Source organism: Homo sapiens, chromosome 21 (genome assembly GCF_000001405.40).
Source record: "Homo sapiens chromosome 21, GRCh38.p14 Primary Assembly".
NCBI lineage: Eukaryota > Metazoa > Chordata > Mammalia > Primates > Hominidae > Homo > Homo sapiens.
Genome location: NC_000021.9, coordinates 38,244,706 through 38,265,007, shown reverse-complemented (window position 1 = coordinate 38,265,007; position 20,302 = coordinate 38,244,706). Strand labels below are relative to the sequence as shown.

The 20,302-nt window shown below is 41.1% G+C and overlaps 1 protein-coding gene and 1 long non-coding RNA gene across 9 annotated transcripts in view, besides 2 other annotated features; one reads left to right on the top strand and one right to left on the bottom strand.

Moving 5' to 3' along the window:
* Window positions 1–20,302, bottom strand: part of KCNJ15 (potassium inwardly rectifying channel subfamily J member 15) — a 77,432-nt gene that overhangs the window by 42,350 nt on the left and 14,780 nt on the right. For 3 of the 7 annotated variants that reach the window (NM_001276436.2, NM_001276435.2, NM_002243.5), the window contains exons 1-2: window positions 8,221–8,267; window positions 7,823–7,962 (exon numbers count right to left, since the gene is read on the bottom strand). The exons of 1 other annotated variant lie outside the window; for it this stretch is intronic. The gene's annotated coding sequence lies outside the window, so the exon portion shown is untranslated. Of the gene's footprint in view, window positions 1–7,822; window positions 8,018–8,220; window positions 8,268–20,302 lie in introns of those variants that run through there. 3 more of the 7 variants (NM_001276439.2, NM_001276437.2, NM_170736.3) reach the window with 3 other exon arrangements.
* Window positions 9,354–12,817, top strand: LOC105372801 (uncharacterized). Of its 2 annotated transcripts, XR_937708.3 has the most exons (3): window positions 9,354–9,637; window positions 10,674–10,747; window positions 11,146–12,817. It is a non-coding gene; the product is annotated as an uncharacterized LOC105372801 (long non-coding RNA). The 2 variants fall into 2 exon arrangements; XR_007067863.1 differs by having other exon boundaries at window positions 10,674–12,817.
* Window positions 19,674–19,723: an enhancer, noted in NCBI's record as "active region_18457". NCBI's record gives its function as "activates an Ori minimal core promoter by ATAC-STARR-seq in GM12878 lymphoblastoid cells {active_cell/tissue: GM12878}" and the evidence as "EXISTENCE:reporter gene assay evidence [ECO:0000049][PMID:35858748]".
* Window positions 19,804–19,883: an enhancer, noted in NCBI's record as "active region_18456". NCBI's record gives its function as "activates an Ori minimal core promoter by ATAC-STARR-seq in GM12878 lymphoblastoid cells {active_cell/tissue: GM12878}" and the evidence as "EXISTENCE:reporter gene assay evidence [ECO:0000049][PMID:35858748]".

Genomic DNA, 20,302 nt, shown 5'->3' with positions numbered 1-20,302 from the left:
TTTTTCCCCTTGTTTTCTTCCTCAGAATCAGACTTCCAGCCCACACTCCCATGCTGAACCCTGCTGGCTCCGTATTTACTTTTCTGTTTTATTTCAAGTGTCTTCATTTTCTTCTTTCCAAAATAACCTGCATGTTTTCTATTTCTCCTCTGTTGGGTTTACACAACTTCTATATCTTAAGCACATGGTTCCCTGTTTCTTGTCACTCCTTAATAAGATGTCTCCCTCCTTAATAACCCCACTTACGCAATTCTAGCAGCCAATCTATCACTTTGTAATATTCACCAAGGGAGAGAACACACCAGTTAGCCATTTTCACATACACATATTTTCAAAAGACTTCAGATAAAAAGGTCTCTGCTGTGCGTTTGCAGGATGAGGTAGATGTAAGTTCATGGTGAAAGTAAAGATGTAATTATAGCAAAAATTATGCCTTTCATGTCAGTGCCTGTGGATTCAATACATATTGCTTGAAGAATACCTTGGGCCATGCCCTGAAAGCACAAAGAAATAACTACATAAAATCTCCATTGTCAAAGAGTTTGCAGCCCTGTAGGGAAAAGGGACAAGTAAGCAGGCCATTGTAAAGTGGGGCCAAGCAGGGCGAACCAGCTATCTCCGGGAATGGGGAGGGAATCCCACAGAGGGTTCCCAGCCCAGGCCTGATGGACCAGAGATTAGTCCCTTAGGCTAGTGCCAGACCTGAGTCTAAGCCAATGAAGAAAGTTTACAATCTCAGTATAAACAAATTATACATAAAGGGGTGTAAAAGGTGAAATAAAATTTAAAAGATCCACAGAGGAAAATGGACATTGTCTTTCAAAAGAATTGTAAAATACAGTGCGTGTAAAACTACATTCAGTGAGTGCCCAGTTGATTCCCAGGTTCAAATAGGAAGCTAAGTTAAGTTCAGATGTAGTTAAGATCTATATTTAATGTTGAGCTCAAAAGTAAGATTCTGGCACTGTGGATCTGTGTGCACTCAACTGTGATTTTTAAAAATAGTTCAAATTTATGTAAGTAAATGATTTAATCAAATGGCCTTTTTGACATTTACTCTTATTTTCCTCCTCTTTTATTTCATGGTGTGTGTGTGTGTGTGTATGTATCTTTGTAAATTCACTTAAATTCTTTTAGGAATAAGGTGGACATAAAGAAACAGAAAGAAAGTAAAAAAAAATTCTTTGGGGCTGACTGTAAGCAGCCACTTCGCAATCCCGAAGGCTGGCCAGTCACATGCAGAGGTAGTCAGGCCCCAGTAGTACAACTTACACCTAAATGGAGCCTGGACATCACACATGTTCTTTGGATCGCACGATGCCTTGCCACTCCACACCCATCACAGTTGGCCAAAGCATCCCCCGTGGGGTTGTGTGAAACGTTAGTCAGAGGAGGGAATCATAGTTGTGGTCAGGGAGGAGGTGGTGGACAGTTCTGCGGTCCAAAATGGATGTACAACTTGGATTCAAAGTTAAAGAACGTCTTTGCTGCAGAACTTCTTGGGGTTTTTAAAATGTTAATGATTGCTGTGAAGATTCAAGAGGGGCCTAAACTAGGAAAGGTTTTCTGAACCTATTTGAGTGCAGACCTTCTTATTTCTTGCAGGGATAGGGTTACCAGGACCCTCACAGGACTCCGCTCACCAGCAGAACTTCCCAGGATAGACAGTGCTTTGCTGTCAAATTCAATTGTGTTTCAGGACACTCCCTCCTGCCTTCTGACCAGCAGAATCACCCCTGTCCCCTGACTCCAGAGACAGGAAGTATAGGGTCAGCCTCTGAGAGTTCTCCCCCAGTTCCTAGGCAGGTGTGTCCTGCTGGCAATGGAGTGGAGACTTCACCTCCCCTTCCCTCCTCAAAGCAGCTTTGGCCTGTCTGGGAGAAGCTAGCCTTCTTCTGTCCCTAGGGCCTAGGAACCAAGACCCTGAGTCTTCCGTAATCAGATTATCACAGCATTCCTGTTGACAAGAATCAAGTCGTTTGACATTATATCCAACTCGTTTTAAGGAGTGACGTTAAGATATCAATGTCGGCCAGGCACGGTAGCTCAGGCCTGTAATCCCAGCACTTTGGGAGGTTGAGGTGGGAGGATCACCTGAGGTCACGAGTTCAAGACCAGCCTGGCCAACATGGTGAAACCCCATCTCTACTGAAAATACAAAAATTAGGCAGGTGTGGTGGCAGGTGCCTGTAATTCCAGCTATTTGGGAGACTAAGGCAGGAGAATCTTTGAACCCGGGAGGTGGAGGTTGCAGTGAACCAAGATCACATCACTGCACCCCAGCCTGGGTGACAGACCAAGACTCCATCTCAAAAAAAAAAAAAGATGTCAGATGTCAATGTCACTATGACATCACTTTTTAAAAATACTGTTTAAAGGGTAATTGTTTTGTGTGCACTTAATGTTTAATTTTGACTGTAAGTCAAAATTATAGATTTGAAATATATTAAACAAGACGTTCAAAATACAGTACCATTGTATTCTGATGTTGTTGACATTGGGATAGCCTCTCTATACCTACACAGTCAGTTTTGTTATTAATGTCCTAGCTAAATACACACCCACACTGCTTTTGTCACTTGTATGTTTGTGTCTGTATGTAATACAGCTCACTGTCCATATATAAATTCTTTCCACAAACTTCTGACAATATAAAAAAGACAGGGCAGGTTTCTTATTTCTTAGTATTTAGAGCATGCTAGTCACAGCAGCCAGGTGCTCCAGGATTCATTATATTTTCTTTACCTCCTAGCAGATATGTGAGAATGGCGTTGGTAGGAAGAGTACAAATGATGACAAATTTCATAAACTTTCAAAGCAGAGGATAAACTTTTCAAATTTGTCCTTTAAAGGTTGGAATAGACATGAAGGATAACTCAGGAAATAAGAAAGCAAGATTCAGGGAGCTGACCTTGTATTTTTTGGCAAAGAGGTCTAAGATGAAGCAAGATATCAATCTGCAAATATTTGAAAATGTAAACATCATTGAGTGAGAACATTATTTGGCTTGGTAGGCATGGGTTTAGCCAGCATTTCTACCAAGAAATGACACAATTAACTGCTATTGAAAATTGGAAACAGCGTTAATAGAAACTAAGGAAAAAAGAGGAAGGCTTCTCACCAAAGACACAGATATTCCACTGGGGCAAGCCCTCAAGTCTGCTCAGGAAGATGCTTATTATTCATGCATTCAATACCATTCTAGGGTCTAGTGGCACAACTAGCATAACGTTCTTTAGGTTTTAAGTTGGGGGCTTTTCAGGTGGAAAAAGCGCACAGTTAATTTCAGTACTCACATATTCTACCATAGGAAAAGCAGCTTTGATAGCATCTTACCCTTGAGCTGAGATATGACCTAAAGGTTCAACTACAGTACAAGGACCTACCTTTCATGGCAAGGTGCCAATGAAACAAGAAACATTCTAGATAGCATTAAGATTGGTTTTCCATATATCACTGATCACTAGATATGGATAAACATGATAGGTATTTTTTGCTTATCATTTTTCAGAGTTATTGAGAGAGCAGCCAGCAGCTAAAATTTACATAAGTTAATTCAACCATTCATTCAAGAGACAAGTATCAGGGCTTTACTATGTATGACACAGAGTGGATTTATCAAGAAGTTAATGAAACTTCAGCTTCAGGGTTCCTCACTTGCCCAGGTCCTATCCAAATCCTTGTACTTAATAGTACAGTCCTAATTTTGCATTTGTTTTCTCTAAAGAAAGCCCCCAAATTGTGCAATCTTAAGGGTCCATAAAATCTTCATCAGCCTCCAGTGTAGACACTAAAGAAAATGCACATGAGTTCCATAGCCATCCGCCCAACACCAGGGCAGCTCCGACTGAAGCAGGATGTGAATGAAACCCAAACCCAGGCACCTGGGTCCTCAGAGCACCCTAAGAATTGCATTCCTCCCCTGCAGTGTTCCCTCTCTGCGTCACCCTCTTTTTTCTTTGATGGCCCAGCGGTGACTCTGAGGATTCGTGTTATCTGTAATCTCAGGGACATGGGCAGGCTCAGGATGTCTGAACTCTGAATGAGGGAATGAGTGGCCTACACAGCCTCTGTGACTTCTGGTCAGGCTACTACGAGAGGCCCTGCTTGGCTGGTTCTATGCGGATCCCTGCACATTAAGACTGCTCTGAATTGGAGCTGCAGGGTGGGAGAGACAGAATCAAACAGAACCTGGCTTATTCTGTTGCTAATTCTTTCCAGTGTTCCCTCTGTAGGTCCTCAGTCCTAAGGTAGTGCAGACATGACCTTCCACTCAACTGCTCCCTACTGGAAACGAATCGGGTGGCTGGCACATGCGTGTTTTGTACCAAAATGCAAAACTTTGTCCTTCTCCTGCATCTTCTGACGTGAGCATGATCACGTGACCCTGATTCATCTTTGTATAGTGGCTAAAATATCTGGAATTGTGTGCTTGTGCTTTAGAATTTTTCATCTAGAAGCACAAACTGTATTCTGGAATTAGGTTGTGTGAACTTCTGGATTCAAATTGGATAGTGGCGGCTATTGGCTTATTGATCTCTTCTCTAGTTGAGGCACAATGCCCATCAAAAGAAATGCAGACACATGAACTACTCATGGAGTTCTGACCTTTCCCTTGTGAAAACAGCACAGATGTTTCTGACTGAAATTCTCCCTGGGCATGTGACAGAATTCACTATGTGTATTCCAGCTGCATTACGATGAGTGGAGATCCCCCTACTATCATCTGAATTCATCCAGAGACGTGTTCCAGAGGCTACACCTGTCAAGTTCAACTTTCTCGCCTGGCCTTTTTATCAGAAATATCTACCCCCTCATTTTTTTCTTTCATTTCAACAGAGTAATATTTAGCAAATAAAACTTCTTAAATGGAGAATCACGGGCATAGAGGGAGAGAAACTAAGTCAGAACTTATAAATAAAGGATCCAAGAAAGAAGTTGCATTTCCTAAATGTTTATAAACCTTTATTTATAAATTATAACTTAGTTTCTCTCCCTCTCTGCCCTTAGTTCTCCTTTTAAAGGTAGGAGCAGGCTCCTTGTGTTCTTTTAGGGAAGATTTAGCACTTCTTAGATTGCTTGTCTCTGGAGCTACTACCGGGTCACACTGCTCCTTCACCTGTCTGCAAAACTGGCACCAGGAAGTTACCTGAGCCAGGTGTGTTCAGTCAGACCTGTCTCCTTCCAGGGCACTGCATCCTTGAGGGGCATAGAATAAGGCTCACCCTTGGTTCACTTTGTTCTAGATCCAGACTTCCCCGGCCTTATCCCACCATCAGCTGCACCAAAAGCCCCACTCCTGAGGTGGCTTTTATGAGATAAAGGTAAAGGACAGAAGAGAGAGAAGGTAGACAATAACCTCTGTCTGACTTGCCTCTTGTATTTGCCCATGAATAAGCAACAAACTCATCTTTGCAGACATAAAAGTTAATATTAACTCATGTAATGGCTTTCTGACAATTTTCGGTGTGGAATTATTTTTACTTGAAAGAATTAAAACAACATATTTAGAGATACATGATTTAATCCGGGGTGCAATGCTTGAATTGCTGCAGGGAAAAAAATAACGGTAGCTGTATCACTTACATATTAAAGACTGAAGAAAATGATTAGGGAGGTGTATATGCCTTCAACAAGCATTCCCACGGGCCAGTCATTGACAGCTTTATCATGCTTACAGCTCAGTCTCTGGACTCTTATGTTGGCTCTAAGACTCTGACGCATCCACCACACAAATACATTTCATAAGCAATCCTGGACTCTGAGGCAAAGTATGCAAAAAACTTCGTGGGCTGCTTTGAGTCTCTAAACAGATGAGAGGGGATTGCACAGGAAAGGATATTCCAAAGATTTGACATGTACTGATTAAATCCGAATAACTTTGCCTCTCTATTCCGTGCCTAAAGCCACATATTGGTGAGTTTTCTTATAACGAGTATGTCATTGTTATTCAGGTATATAATTGCACACACCACACACACGCGCACACACACACACACACACGCCCCAAGAAAGCACAGCCCTTTCGAGATTTCCTCGATGCAGAAGCAGAGTGAGGTTGTGCTGAGCCTTATGGGAAAGAGCCCAGAGACCTGCTTTTGTTGGCTTCTCAGGTTTGCTGGCATGTGCAGCCTGGGGTCTCGCTCTCTTTCCCCCCAAAACACTGGCTGTCTGCACTGGTGAGAAGTGTGAGGAGAGGAAATTGGGGAAATAAGACTTTCTGTAAAATGACCACAACTGTTGGTGGGAGGAAGGAGTGGAAACATGGAGAGAGGACGTTTTAGAAAAATGTGTTTTCCTTAAGCAACCAGAATCACAAAGTTCAACTAAGGCAATTTCTGTAAAACCCCCAGACTATTTATACATTTATTTAATTCAGTGAAGAAAGGTCTGTTCCGTTATTTGATGAGCGTTTCTGACATGCTGCTACCAGGAATTTGGTTAAACTCTTCTAATCTTCAGTATTTTGGGAAGACTTGCCTTGTGGCCTCTGGGCCATTCCCTGGATGGTCACTTATTATATTAACAGAGAAGGAGAAAAACTGCTAAAAAGTAAAACCCTAGAAGGTATGGGAAGAAAGAACAGCGCCCGGGGAAGCTGTGTGTGAGGTAAGTGCTTACTTACCTAATTAATCGGCTGGAAGTGTCTCTGATACTGTATTTAGTTTTCACAAAATGATGATATTTAAAAATGTATTATAGCTTTATGGGACACTTTTCTTTTGATTTTTAGGACAATTTTAAATAGGAGAGAATTTGTCACCTAAGGCTATTACTACCGATTGTTTCATATTTGTTTAAACATTCACAAGAGGACAAAAGAAGATAGGATTGGGGATAACAGTTGATTGTGCATGAGTGTGAGTGTGTGCTTGTGATCTTGAGGTTGCAAAAAATGAATTTTAAGAATCACTTGGATTTTTTTTTTTTCAAAATCCCTCTTACAGGTAAAGGGGAAAAAGATAAATCTAAACATTTGAATTAATGGTACACATTTTTGGTCTTTAGTTTTCCACAGTCAAATACTACATTCGTTGTAAGTTTTCTAACCTGTGGGTTAAAAGAAATTATGAGGTCAAGAAATGTCTATTGAACAATAAATTCTTATTTCCTTCAAGTGACTAAATGCGGAAGTACAGAGGAGACAAACGTTGGCGTTACAGGAGCAATGTGGAAATTTCACCCAGTATAACATTTATTAGCTGAGGATAGTCTAAACTCTCATGAAATTATACACAGATTAAAAAACATATTAATCATGGGTCATGAACAAAGTTCATAATATTTCCAAACTCAGGATCGTTTACATTCCTTACACCTACCACAGAAAACTTACATAACTTTTCTCAAAAGGATAGGTAACAGATTTTAAAATATTCCGGCGAGGTTTCGCCTTACGGCAATCTAAACTGATTTCCCCATTGACAAAGGAAAGTAACTGCTTCAGAATTAGCCAAAGAACTATGTAATCGCTGAAAATCAACAAACTTGCTCTGACAGACCCTTGCAAAGAGAAGTCGGAGTAATTCTTGTCCCGCAAGCTAGACCCCCGTACACCCACCGCAAACAAGACGACATCTGGATATTGTTTCACGAGCAAGAATAAAACACTTTTTTTTGTCCCATCATTAAGTAAAATCCCGTTTTCCACATGCAAACAGCACTTGTAAATTCCCCCAGATAAGCACGGGCGTCTTAAATGATTTAAATAAGCTTTAAAAGAATCACAACGCTTTCATTACCTTTAGAAGTAAAGTTTTTCAAAAATACCTCCAGCGTGCCACATGCCCCAGAGTTAACATAAGCGCCGTGTACCTCTTACCTGCAAAGACTGAAGAGTGCAGACTCCTGGCTGGATGGGAAGTTATGTCAAGTCAGAGAAATGCTCAGTCCAGACAGGTTGCCTTGGGAAAGATAGGTGTTTAGGGTTCCTCAAAATGAAGAAAACTCTCTCACTGTTCACTGTCAGTCAAAAACAAGTTGGTACAAGTTTGAGTAAGAATTACCTGGAGGAACTGAAGAGAGAAAGGAAAGAGATTGGGAGACATTGGGCAGAGGAGGGAGGGATAGGGAAGGAGGGAGGGAGGGAGGGAGGGAGGAAAGGAGAGAAAGTGAGAGACAGAGAGAGAGAGTGGGGGAGAAAGAGAAAAAGAGAGAAGGAATCTGAGAAAGGAGACCATGATGTCAGCATGTCTTAAGGTCTTAAGGAAATCTACAAACCAGCACAGGATTCTAGTGGGCATCCAGTCCGGGCTCTCCAAACACCTGTGCAAAAGAAAACTGATGCCTTTTTAAAGAATGCCAGTTAATCTTTGAAGAAACTTTGGCCATTCTTATCAAAGCATTTTAAGGTCCCTTTGGCTAAGTAAACTATAAATAAATAACCAGATTACCTTTTCTAACAATCTCTCCTTTATCCCATGTTTTCTTTTTCTCTTTCCTCTCTCCTCCCCAAATGAATATTAACAAAATCTCTTGCCTCCTGGTGGAATCAGAATGAATCCATACAGACTATACCTATGTCAAACATACCTAAGCAAAATGCCACAGAGGAAAACTCATGTTTTTAGCTCAACCCCTTTATTGAGCTGATTTTTTTCTATTGCCCTGCTTTCCCTGATAAATATTATATATATATATATATATAAGCTGAATAGACATGGGCAAAATTTGGTTCTTCTGGATCATGGAAATTGGGCTTCGGGATACATGTTGGAATCTGAGTTCCAGCATTCTTGCATAGTCTGGCATCTTTATGAGAAATGGTCAGAATTCCATCCTTGAAGAAGGCTTCTAATGGAAGATCTCTGGAAGCAGAGGCAGTAAGCTTCTTTCGGGAATGGGGTTATATGTCCATCCTATGCAAAGTGACTCTTGCAGCCACCACATCAAGGGAGGCCCGTCCAAGGCTCATGTGCTCTCCTGGCCTTCTCACGGCCAGACTGCATGGGGATCGTGGTCAATCCTAAGAGATGGAATGGGTTTTTCAAAAGCACTTCCCCTAGAGAGAGCCCTCTACACTGGTCCAAAGGCAATGCCAAGAGACGCAAACGGTCTGTTTCCCATGGGAGACGATGATATACCCACACGTCCCCTGCCCAGGCATGTCGGTGGGGCCAGACCACGGCATCTGGTTTGACATAGAGCAGACAGGGTGAGGAACACTTTGCTTCTGTTGGAAATGAATGATACTTCCTCTCCCCAGAGTACTGGGCTCTGCAATTCACCCCAAGTGCAGCTGCTGCTGTTCTGGGTGCTTGAACTAAGTGGGAGCTGGAAGGGATGGGGTGTCATTCTGTCTTTAGGAAGGAAGGGCTGAGACTTCCTTATTTTCTCCCCCCTCTCCCTGCTGACTCAAAGCTCAGGGCATAAATCATTCCATTTCTGTTTTCCCAGTGGAGATGGTATGCCTCAGTCTCCTTCTCTTTTGCTCTTTCTTTCCCTGGAAGCAAGGGACTCCTTTTCAGCCTGGGAGTATAAATGGTGGCCCTGGAAAGAAGACACTGGGCTCCCAGGGGTTCAGGGCAGGAGGATGAAGAAGCTACACGAGATTTGGACTTCTTAGAGCTGGTACTCCCGGAGTCTAGAATCAGATAGACCTCCCGCGAGGATATGCTAAAAGTCCCATAGAAAACAGGTAAGCACAGAGGTGCAGAACGATGAAAGAGGGAAAACTGAGAATTAAAGGATCTGAGTATATACCAGCTGCTCAGGTGGGATGATTTGCAGGGGCTGTTTCCTCGGCCTGGAATGGTCCCCTCTGGCCTTCATTCACTGAGCTGACTCATTGTTCAGGTCCTAGCCTGAATGGCACCTCCTCTGGGAGGTCCTTATCTGATCTGGTCCTGATCCAAGTCCGTGCCCCAAGACTCCTTTTGTTGTGTATCTCACTTATCACTGTCTGAAGTTGCCCTCAAGCTTTTCCATTTACCATCTGTGTTCCAGTCTAGAGCTCAATGGTACCTGTCTTATTCACCAAACATCTTTCCAGCAATATCTGGCACATCATAGTCCCTCAAAAAATATGCATATTTGTCAAGTGGGTTGACAAAAGATTACATATGGAAGACATGATTTGTTACCGTGGAACTTTAATTATCTCCTTATATTTAATCTGTATTTCCAGCCTAAGCTTTACTTAATAAACTAACATTTGAACACCTTTTTTTCAATTTGTAAAACACTGCCAGAAATGTTGTTAAGTCCATGCTCAGATCAAAATGTAGGCATGATTAGTTGTATTTTAAGGGCAAGGAGATGGAAGCCAAAGAAGATAAGTGATTTGTGCAAAGTCACACAGCTACAGAGCGATGAATTGAAGCTCAAAACAGCTCTTTTCACTTTCAATCCATGCATTTTTCATTATCGTACATTTTTCTTAAATTCTTATATTTTGAGCATACATATGCATATGTAGCTTCTTCTCAGCATCGAGTTACATACTGCATGAATTTTAACCACAGTTTAATACTCTGGGAAGTTTTAGTTCTTGCAGGACCATACACAGTGGAGCAGATACTCATTTATAACAATTTTAAAGATGATGGAAGGAAAAAATGAGTCCAGAGTAGTAGAAATACATTTTAAAGTTTAAATGCTAAGACAATGTTCTTCATTTTGGTGATGTTTACCTGTTTTTGTTACTTTTCATTTGGTGATATGTCAACAATTAGATTTTGAGGCTGCAGATCTGACAGTTTACCAAAGGAGATGAGACATTATAAATGTATGACTGCAGGGTTGAGAGGTGAGTGGGGAAATTCTAAAATGCGCGTCTATGTGACTTCTGTCATAGAGGCCAGGCTTTGTTAAGCATGCTTTAACAACTGAATGATCTAAGTATTTCTGGAAATTTCTGAAACTAACTAAGGGAAATAGGACAAACTGTTAATCCTGACAAAATAATATTTTCTGCCATGCAATCTCTCTCTCATCCAATGAGTAAAATTTGTTTCACAATTCTGGTTCTAAGGAGTAAAGTGGGAAATCTAGTGTATAAGATTACATGAAATAACATAGCTAATCATTTCATAATTGAACATGGTTAATTTTACTGACCTTTTAGCCGAAGATAAAAACAAATATAAATGACTATTCAGTAAGTTGTGTTTACTTCTTTCTGCTCCCCAACCCCCACCTCCACAGTTAACGGAAAGACTCTTAGTTGTGTCAAATTTGCATAGAAAATACATAGAAGTCTGGATTTTTCTATGAAGATCTGAAATGACATCTGAATACTGGGCAGAAGAGTTCACAAGAACCAAATTTTTCAAGAGAACTGTTTCCCAAGAATAATTTCCAAAAAAGAAAAAAAAATGCTATAATGTTTCCAATCCTCATCTTGGCTTGAATCAAGACATAAAAAACCTTAAAGTGTGATGAGAGGGAAAAAATATTTTTACCTTGGAATAAATTCTATTTAAGTTGGGTTAGATATGGAGCTATTTATGGAAGCTTACAACAGTTCTTAAAACTTCCTCAGAATCTTCCATGAATCTAGCAGCTTAAAGAGCCCTCCACAGGTGCATCATGATATGGCCAGCTGTCTCCAGTTTGTTCTCACCATCCTTATCCTAGAGGCATTGAAAATGATTCCTTGGAATATAGGTGAGTCTTGGAGCATAATGTGTACCCATTTCCAGACCTCACAGGCCAGAGGTGAGGACCTACTTGCCTTTGGGTCTTTCTAGCAAGAAGCTTGTCCTGGGAAGCCACAAAATTAAAATCTTGTCTGGAGGTAGATTATATGGAAATAGACGTTGAGACAAAAATGCGCAGGCAATTTATTAAAGTAGTACTCCCAGGAGGAACCCAAAGTGGTGTGGGGAAAGCAAGTCAGGAAGGGAAGAAGCCAGGGTACAATTTTAGGACAAGGACAAGACCCAGTCCCTGCCTAATCCTGGGGAGGGAGTTCTGGAGTGAAAATAGCATCCTAGGTAAGAGAGCTGGGCTTTCATGATGCTGCCCATCAGTCTTTGACTGAGAGTAGAAAGGGTGATGGGAGCATGCAATTTCCCAAGGGCTCTGGCTTCCTGCATCTGCAATGGAAATGGAAGTGGCTCCCATAGCCCAAGGGCAATCTTATGAAGATGGTGGTAGGGGCAGCAGGCTGTTAAAATTAATACACACAGAGAAGCACAGGAATGGGCTCTCAGAAGCAGTGCAGAACATTCACAGGGCTTGGGGAAGACTCCCAGCAGCACTGGCTATGATGGTTAATCCTGTGAGTGATAGAATGCTTTGCAATCCATGGTGCAGGTGCTATTACTACCCCTAATCATTGCTCCTCAATCCCTCAATATTCCCATCCTCCTCCACTTTGTCAGTTTCCCAATTAAAATAAAATCGTGAATTTCAGCACTAAAATGTGGAATTCCATTTAAGATGCACGAGATTTTATTATGCATATAGTCTTTTCCTCAAAATGCCAGGAGAATCCTAGCAGGGCTTTCTTGTTACTAATAGAAACCTTTGTTATTGGTATCATGTCAATTTAGTTTGATTAGTAACTAAATCAGATGTCTTCTTTTTGCTGAGTTCCAAAGACCCTCCAGTTCCTAAACTGGAGTAAATTATAGTTCAGCAGAAAGATGGACAAATAGCTAACCATGATATTGTGTGATAAGTGTTATAGGACCATAATATTCTAGAAGCCCACAGGAAGGGGAATTTACTCTACCTGGGAGTTTGAAGGTAGCCTTCCAGAGGTGGGAACAATTGAGTGCAGCCCACAAGATTTCCATAGGTGGAGACAAAGTAGGGTTGTTGACATTCCAGGAAAAATGAAGAGCAAATAATTAAAGATTATTTAAGTAAAGATTAAAAGAGCCAAGTGATCTGATCTCTGGGACAGTTTAGCAATGTAACTCTAGCCTTAGCCTCATGGAGTTTAGACAGCAAGAAATCACAAGAAAAATGGCTTTGGTTATAGAATCGCCTGTCTCCCCTTGTCCTTTAGCTTTCCCTTGGGAGAAGTAAATGGAGCTGAAAGCAACCTCTAGCCTCCCACTGGAGGCTTCCCCATCTTCCCACCACCCACCATCCTCAACACAAAGCGTTCCTCCTCAGGAAGACATGGAAGCTATTTTATCCACATTCTTCTTAAATGAGATGGTTCAAAAATTATCCAAAAATGCAAAACTTACTTAATAAAAATGTTACCTCCAAGTCATTCCTTTGTAAGGTGACCAATAATCCTGATTTTCCACTGACTGCCCTGGTTTTTAACACTTAAAGTCCCACATCCTAAGAAATCCCCTACTCGCTGGCAAATTGCGATGATGGGTCACGCTATTCCTCTGTGTGTCCTCAGCTCTTTTGAAGTCAGCTGTTAAATGCAATAAAAAATAATTGGAAAATGAAAGCATTAATACAGGCCTGATATCCTAATTTGTTAGCACTGAGTGCACATTTGCCACGGCATCTGTAAAATCTAACTTTGTCAGGTGGGAATGTATATACTTAAAAGTTGGGTGCATGAAGTGCCCGCCTCTCTCTATAGGGGCTCCGTATGGAAGTGTCCTTTAAACTTCTACTGGAGTTAGTTGGTGATTCTAGGTCCCTATCAGCAGCATGGCTTCAGAATTGAGAAACTGTGAAACAACCACTGACATGAACCCAACGGTGATCCGGTTTCCTCTTGCCTTATTCAAATTGAACTTTATTCCTTTATTGTTGGTGCAACCTTACACCACATGTTAAATACACACCGTTTGTTCCTGGTTCACCTCAGACAGGCTTTTACCAAGTGAACTATTTTGTGGCAATTCCCGTCAAAGAAGGGATATGATAATGACTGTTTTCCACTGTTGACAGTGTGGGCTGGCAAATAGAAAAGCAATATCTGCTAAGTACAGTTACCTTCTCCAGCCCACTGCAACCAGAGTAATCCCGCCTTGCTTTGAAAGCCTCGCCGGATCATTCATCAATGTGTGGCATGCTGGCTTGTATTACCCCCCACCTCTTCTATTGTTGTCTTATTGTGGTTTAACTCTGAATCAACTGTACAGGGAGGCTCCTAGGCCAGACTGTGAGGTATGTGTGCCGTGGACCCTATCTCTACCAGATGGCCAGACACGTCTTACCTACAACAGACTGACTTTGAACCCAACACTCCAAGACCCACTTTACAATATTTGAAATAGAATATTACAGAAAATGCGATTATCACCCTGAATAATTTCAAAGATCAACTGGAGAAGACAAAAGTAGTGATTCATTCTACATTTCCTTCCATTTTCATATTTTAGCAATTGGTCAATTGGTGCTTGACTGATGATCAATCACACATTTCAGCTTTAAAAACAAATCACCAAGCCAATGGGATATCTGTCTTTCAAGTTGGCAATATCAATGGACAGGCCAGGTGTTTGATTCTACCTGCTGTATTCCGGCACGTCCTTCATCACCAAGTTCCATCAAACTGTCTGAAGCATGTGAACCTCCAGATCTCTTCTGTACTGATATTTCTTGCTATGACATTTCAATTCCTGAGCATAGATCAGGCCCCTTTCACCCTTTTCCAAGTTTAGTTCTTGGCCTCTGGAAGAGCTAGCTGGGTACACACTGCATGTTTTATGGCCCTTTATTTGCTCCAGCATGTAGTGATATTATTAGGCTATAACGTCCTCATTTGTAACATACTGAACCACCTCCCTATCAATCCATACAGTTTATCCCTCTAATATCCACAGAGAAGAATGTCATTCAAACCCTGATTCTGCACTAATACCCCTCCTTCTACCTGGCATCAATGCAAGAGGGCCTAGGAGAAGTCCCAGGTCTCATCTTGGGTATTTATTATTAGCAGAACTGGGTAAACAACTAGGTTTTTCACTTTGGGAGCTTTCCCATTGCAAAATTGTGCCCTTTTGCCAAATATTCTAGTTATTGTGGAAAAACTGAGCAATGCGAATTGGCTAAGTTACGTAAAGTGAAAGATCTCAGCCCAGTTGTCATAAAAATCTAAGGGACTTCACACTGAAGGACTAGCAGGAGTATAGAAAGAGGGTGTTGTGAACTCAAACTCTTGACTATTCCTTATCAGCCCTAGCAATGCACAGGGGCTAATTCAGCAAACATTTCCTAGAGAAGCCACAACAAATACATTAAGCTAAAAATGAATTCAAAGAGAAAGCTGTCCAAGATCATCTTATTCTATCATTGCACTTCAGCTTATCAAATGTGCACGTAGAGATGATGGAGACTCCAGCTGAAAAAGAGATGATAAAGAATGCCTAATAATAGGGTACTGGTTTTTCTTATTTTTCTTCTCCTTGACTGTCTGACCTGAAGAATAAAAGCTAGAGAATTATGACTGAGCCAAAGTCAGGCTTCTGAAATTAAAGTCAAACATACAGTCTTTAGTTTCCTTGGTGTTTGACCACACCTATACAGACTAGACATGCAGTGACTGTGTTTTCTTTACTTCTTCATTAAGAAAAATTCCTGGAGTTGTTTCACCTCCATGCATTTATTCCTGATCACATGCTGGAGAATATTTCCTATCTGTCATCCATTCTGTTCCACTGGCTTTGGTTTGCCATTGTGGTCACCCTAACTCAGAGTGATAGTTGAGTTATGACTGAAAACTCACCTCTGCTTACTTCCCTTCTGAAATCTGTGTGTACTTAGTAGGCAGCAGTAATTCTAAAGGTGCAGCCTTACCATTTATCAATCAGTAAATAACATATATCACCTAGTACGCACATCAGAAAAAGTACTTGGGTTATCAATTTAAACAATCATTGCAATCTCTTGGGCAAAAGTCATTATGTTTTGTTTTTCAAATTGCTCAGTGGTATGTCTTATCTTGCCAGTCAAATCTCATTTTACAGTGTGGACACCAACAGCAAAATTGAACCGAAGCTGTAATTCTTGCCTTGGGACACTAAATGGTTATATTCTTTCTTTCTGGCAAGGAGTAAAGTCCATTGGGGGTGCAAGGGAGAAATGTAGGTTTGGTCTTAGCTATAGATTCAAATTCTAGAGCTGCTACTTACTAACTCAATGATCTGAGGCAAGCGGATTGACTTATCTGAGATGGTTTTGCACTAGTGAACTGAGAAAAACAGTTTACCTCCCAGGGTCCTTATGCAGTTTGGAGAAGGGAAGGCATGGGAATTGTCCTGCACCACGTGTGTTCTGTCAGAAGACATCAGGGAATGCAGCTCCATGGTGAGGGGCAAAGGTGGCCAGCATCAAGGTCCTCTTCCTGCTGGTTGCACTCAGACAGGGAGCTCCCTCTGTTTTGCCTGAAAACTCACCTCTAGGAACAATCATGTGCAAAGCCATCTTATAATACAGGAGTTCTCATCTCCTCTCATGTTTGAATTGTGGGACACAGAAGCCGTGCACTCCAGTTCCTTCAAGATCTGCTGTTTTCACTAGAATGTATGCAGAGATCCTGAGCTGCCTTAAAATATCTTAAACAATTTGCATGCCCTCAAAGTGCTGCTGCACCTCCCAGGGAGAGCAATGTAGGTACTAGGCTTTTCTGAGTCTTATTCTAGTTCTTTTATTGTCCAACCACTTGAATAGTTAAATAGTTTAGATTACTTGAATAAATATAATTTAATTAGCTTGTTCCTAGGAAACCAAGCTTTATCATGCCAGTTTTCCTGAAGTGCCTTGCATTGTACTGATAAGCTATAAAGTTTGTGCCACTTAGTTAACTTTCTAACTTTCTTGGCTTTTATAGGATGTGTGTATTCCCAGCAATCAAGTGTGAGAATCTATCTCTTATCTTGGTTACAGAACTTAACGAAATATTTGTCGCTGCTCAGTTACCCCTTCTGTTCTTCATTTGTTGATGAAGTGCTTATACCACCTGACACTGAATCAAGTACCAGATATAATTTCTGTGCTGCTGTGTGAAGGCGCAAAGATATGTCTGCTATTTGCTGTTCCTTGTGATGTGGTGTGCTCTTACTAGCAATAAGTTTACAGTGAAAATGTTTACTTGAATTGTAGAAATGCACCTGGATGGAGTGAACATAGCCCAAGTTTGGAAGCAATAACACTTGTCAGTTCACTGAGTCCTAGAGATGGAATTTTAGTTTAGTTAACAGGAAGCCCACGCCAGCAAGGTGCTTTCTAGTGTTTGTTTGGTGTTGGATTTCTTCCTCAGATTGCAGTGAGTGGGGTGAGATTGGGAGGCACAGGTGATGGGAAGCTTCTTTCATAGTTGCACACTGGACCATGTGAATGTTTATGGGGAACATATGAGAACATGTAACCTAGGCACAAGCTGAAATAAAAATGACAATACTGATGCCAATCTTTCATCATAAGGCTAACCTTACATGTGGCCATGAAGAACATATGGGCATACAGAGTAACAGAGGATTCTATTAACTTCAGCATTTTATTCAATCAATCCATCCATCTACCTACATATCCATTCATCCATTTATCTACCTATGCATGCATGCATCTTTCCATCCATCCATCCATCCATCCATCCATCCATCCATCCATCCATCCACCTATGCATCTATCCAACCATCCATTTATCCATCTATCCATCCGTTTATCCATACATCCATTCATCCATACATCCATCCACCTATGCATCTATCCAACCATCCATTTATCCATCTATCCATCCGTTTATCCATACATCCATTCATCCATCCATCCATCCATCCATCCATCCACCTATGCATCTATCCATCCATCCATTTACCCATCGATCCATCCATCCACCTATGCATCTATCCATCTATCCATTTAGCCATACATCCATTTATCCATCCATCCATCCATCCATCCATCAATCCATTTATCCATCCATCCATCTACCTATGCATCCATCCATCCATCTGTCCATCCATCCATATACCTATACATCCATGCATCCATCCATCCATCCATCCATGCATCCATCCATCCATCCATCCATCCATGCATCCATCCATCCATCCATCCATCCATCCATCCATCCATCCATTCACCCATCCATCCATCCATCCACTTATGCATCCATCCATCTACCTATGCATCCATCCATCCATCCATCCTTCATTTTTTAGTTTTATTAAATGACTTTTCCTCTCTCTTAAAATTCAAGCTCAGTGTAACTTCTAACTTTGAAAGTTTCCTGTCAGAAGGGCTAAGTTCAAGTGTGGTTCTCAATATGCATTTATTCTATTATGAACAGTAAATCCCTGATGTTAAATTTGCAGAGTGAGATTGGTATTACCAGTCTGATAGATAAGCAGGTAAATAACAGCTCCCTTTAACCCACACACACACTCCTCATACCAGCCAGGTGCAAGTATTGTGGTAATAATGCAGACTAATGTAAAACATAATTTACCATCTAAAGATTATGTTGAAATTCTGCTTCCTTTGTAATATGTTCCTCTTTTTTAAAAATTAAAATCAAGCATTGGAGAGATTCAGACTTTGTCTGTGTTTTTAACACTAATCTTAACTAGCATTTTTAAAATGTTACCTCCAGGTCACTGTAACTCATCTCTTGAAGACCCCAAGCAGATAGTAGGGAATATAGAAATATTTGCATCCTTCACATTAGCTGCAACGAACTCAAAGCAAATCAAAAGCAGCCTCAGAATTCTTTTGGCCTGCATTCCACAGAAAGATTCTTCCAAAAGTTAATCTTCATCATATAGGCCAACAGTAACCAATACTCCTGGATCTGATTGAAATTGGCAACACGCAAAAAACTCTAGTGAGCTTAGAGCTTTAAGAAAAATCAAGACTTCTTCAGTGGGCATTATTCTTATTCCTAAGCCATTATCCAAAACAGCAAAGAAACCAGACCCTAGCCTAGATACATGATTCGTTTTAGCTCTGATGATAACAGCTGCTATTTGTTGAAGGTTTGCTGTGGATCAGGAATTAGATTTAAATGCCTTATGTCTACCGTGTCATTTAATTATTAATTTATTCTTATAGCATATTGACTATCATATCAACAAATCAGAGTATGTAAGACAGGTATTATTCTTCTTACTTTATAAATGATAAAACTAAGTCTTGAATTAAGTCACTTGCCCAAGGTCAAATAGTTGGTGAACTGAGAAGCAGAAATTCAAATCTTGATCTCACTTCACAGGCCTCACCTTGAATCACTGTACTGGACAGCCACCTCTGAATTCAGTCTTTGTGGGTGGTCTCAGGGTTAACTGGGCTGAACTAATGGTTCACACCACAAAAAAGGCAAAAATGGCCAAAAATGAACATGTGTCAGGCAAAGTTCTGTTTGATTTCCAGCTGTAAACACCTTTCATTCTCTTTCTCCTTCCTTCCTTTCTCTTTCTCTCTCTTTCTTTCTTTCCTTTCCTTCTTTCTTTCTTCCCTTTCCTTCTTTCTTTCTTCTTTCCTTTCTCTGTCTCTCTTTCCCTTCCCTTCCTTCCTCTCTCCTTCCTTCCCTCCTTTCTTTCTTTCTCTCTCTCTCTTTCTTTCTTTCTTTTCTTTCTTTGTTATTATAAATGGAATTACTTATAAGGATCTCGTATCCTGGTTTCAGATACAGTCTTATGAAGAGGTTCCCAGCTGAAGAGATTGGAAGGCAGATGGTAGCCCTCCTTTTTTCTTTCCAGTAGTATTTTTAGTGTCATGATGTAATGAAGTAAAGCAGTGGCCTCAACCCTGACCACATATTAGAATCACCCAGAAAGAATCACTCATTTTTTTTTTTAATGTCCAAGAGATTCTGATTTCATTGGTCTGGGGTGGGGCCTGGACATCAATGTTGTTTGTAAGATCCTGAGATGACTGGAATGAAGCCAGGCTGAGAATCAGGCATATGGCCACACAGAGAGGACTTTGGGAATAGAACCAGGATGCGGTAAACTCCGACGTAGAATCCAGGTCTCCAGCCCCGCCTTGCCTTCCCCTGAGCCTCTCTCTCTGACTTCCTTCTGTTTGTAGACCCTGTGATGACGGCGCCTGTAGAAACCTTCTGTGGTCATGGAGGTGTCTGTGCCATTTCCTGCACATCATGAATGAGTCACTAGCCCCTAAAGAGCATCTTAGACCGACAATACCCATGTGTTAACTAGCTCAGGATGTGTCCAATTCCTTTAGCTGATCCTTTGGTCAGCTCCAAGGCCACAATCTGGTTCGTTGATTACATCTTATTAGAAAGAAAAGAGATTCAGAGTACCTGCTGGTAGTCATTCATTCTGCAGATAATACTGTAAAAATTACAAGACTAACTACCAGCATCTCATTAGCAGCAGTTCTCCCCTCCCAGGGCTTGGGAGGAGACAAGGTTTTCCAGGGGTGAAAAGATGTTCCCCTCCCCAACTTACTTGAGTCCTTGAATCCTAGG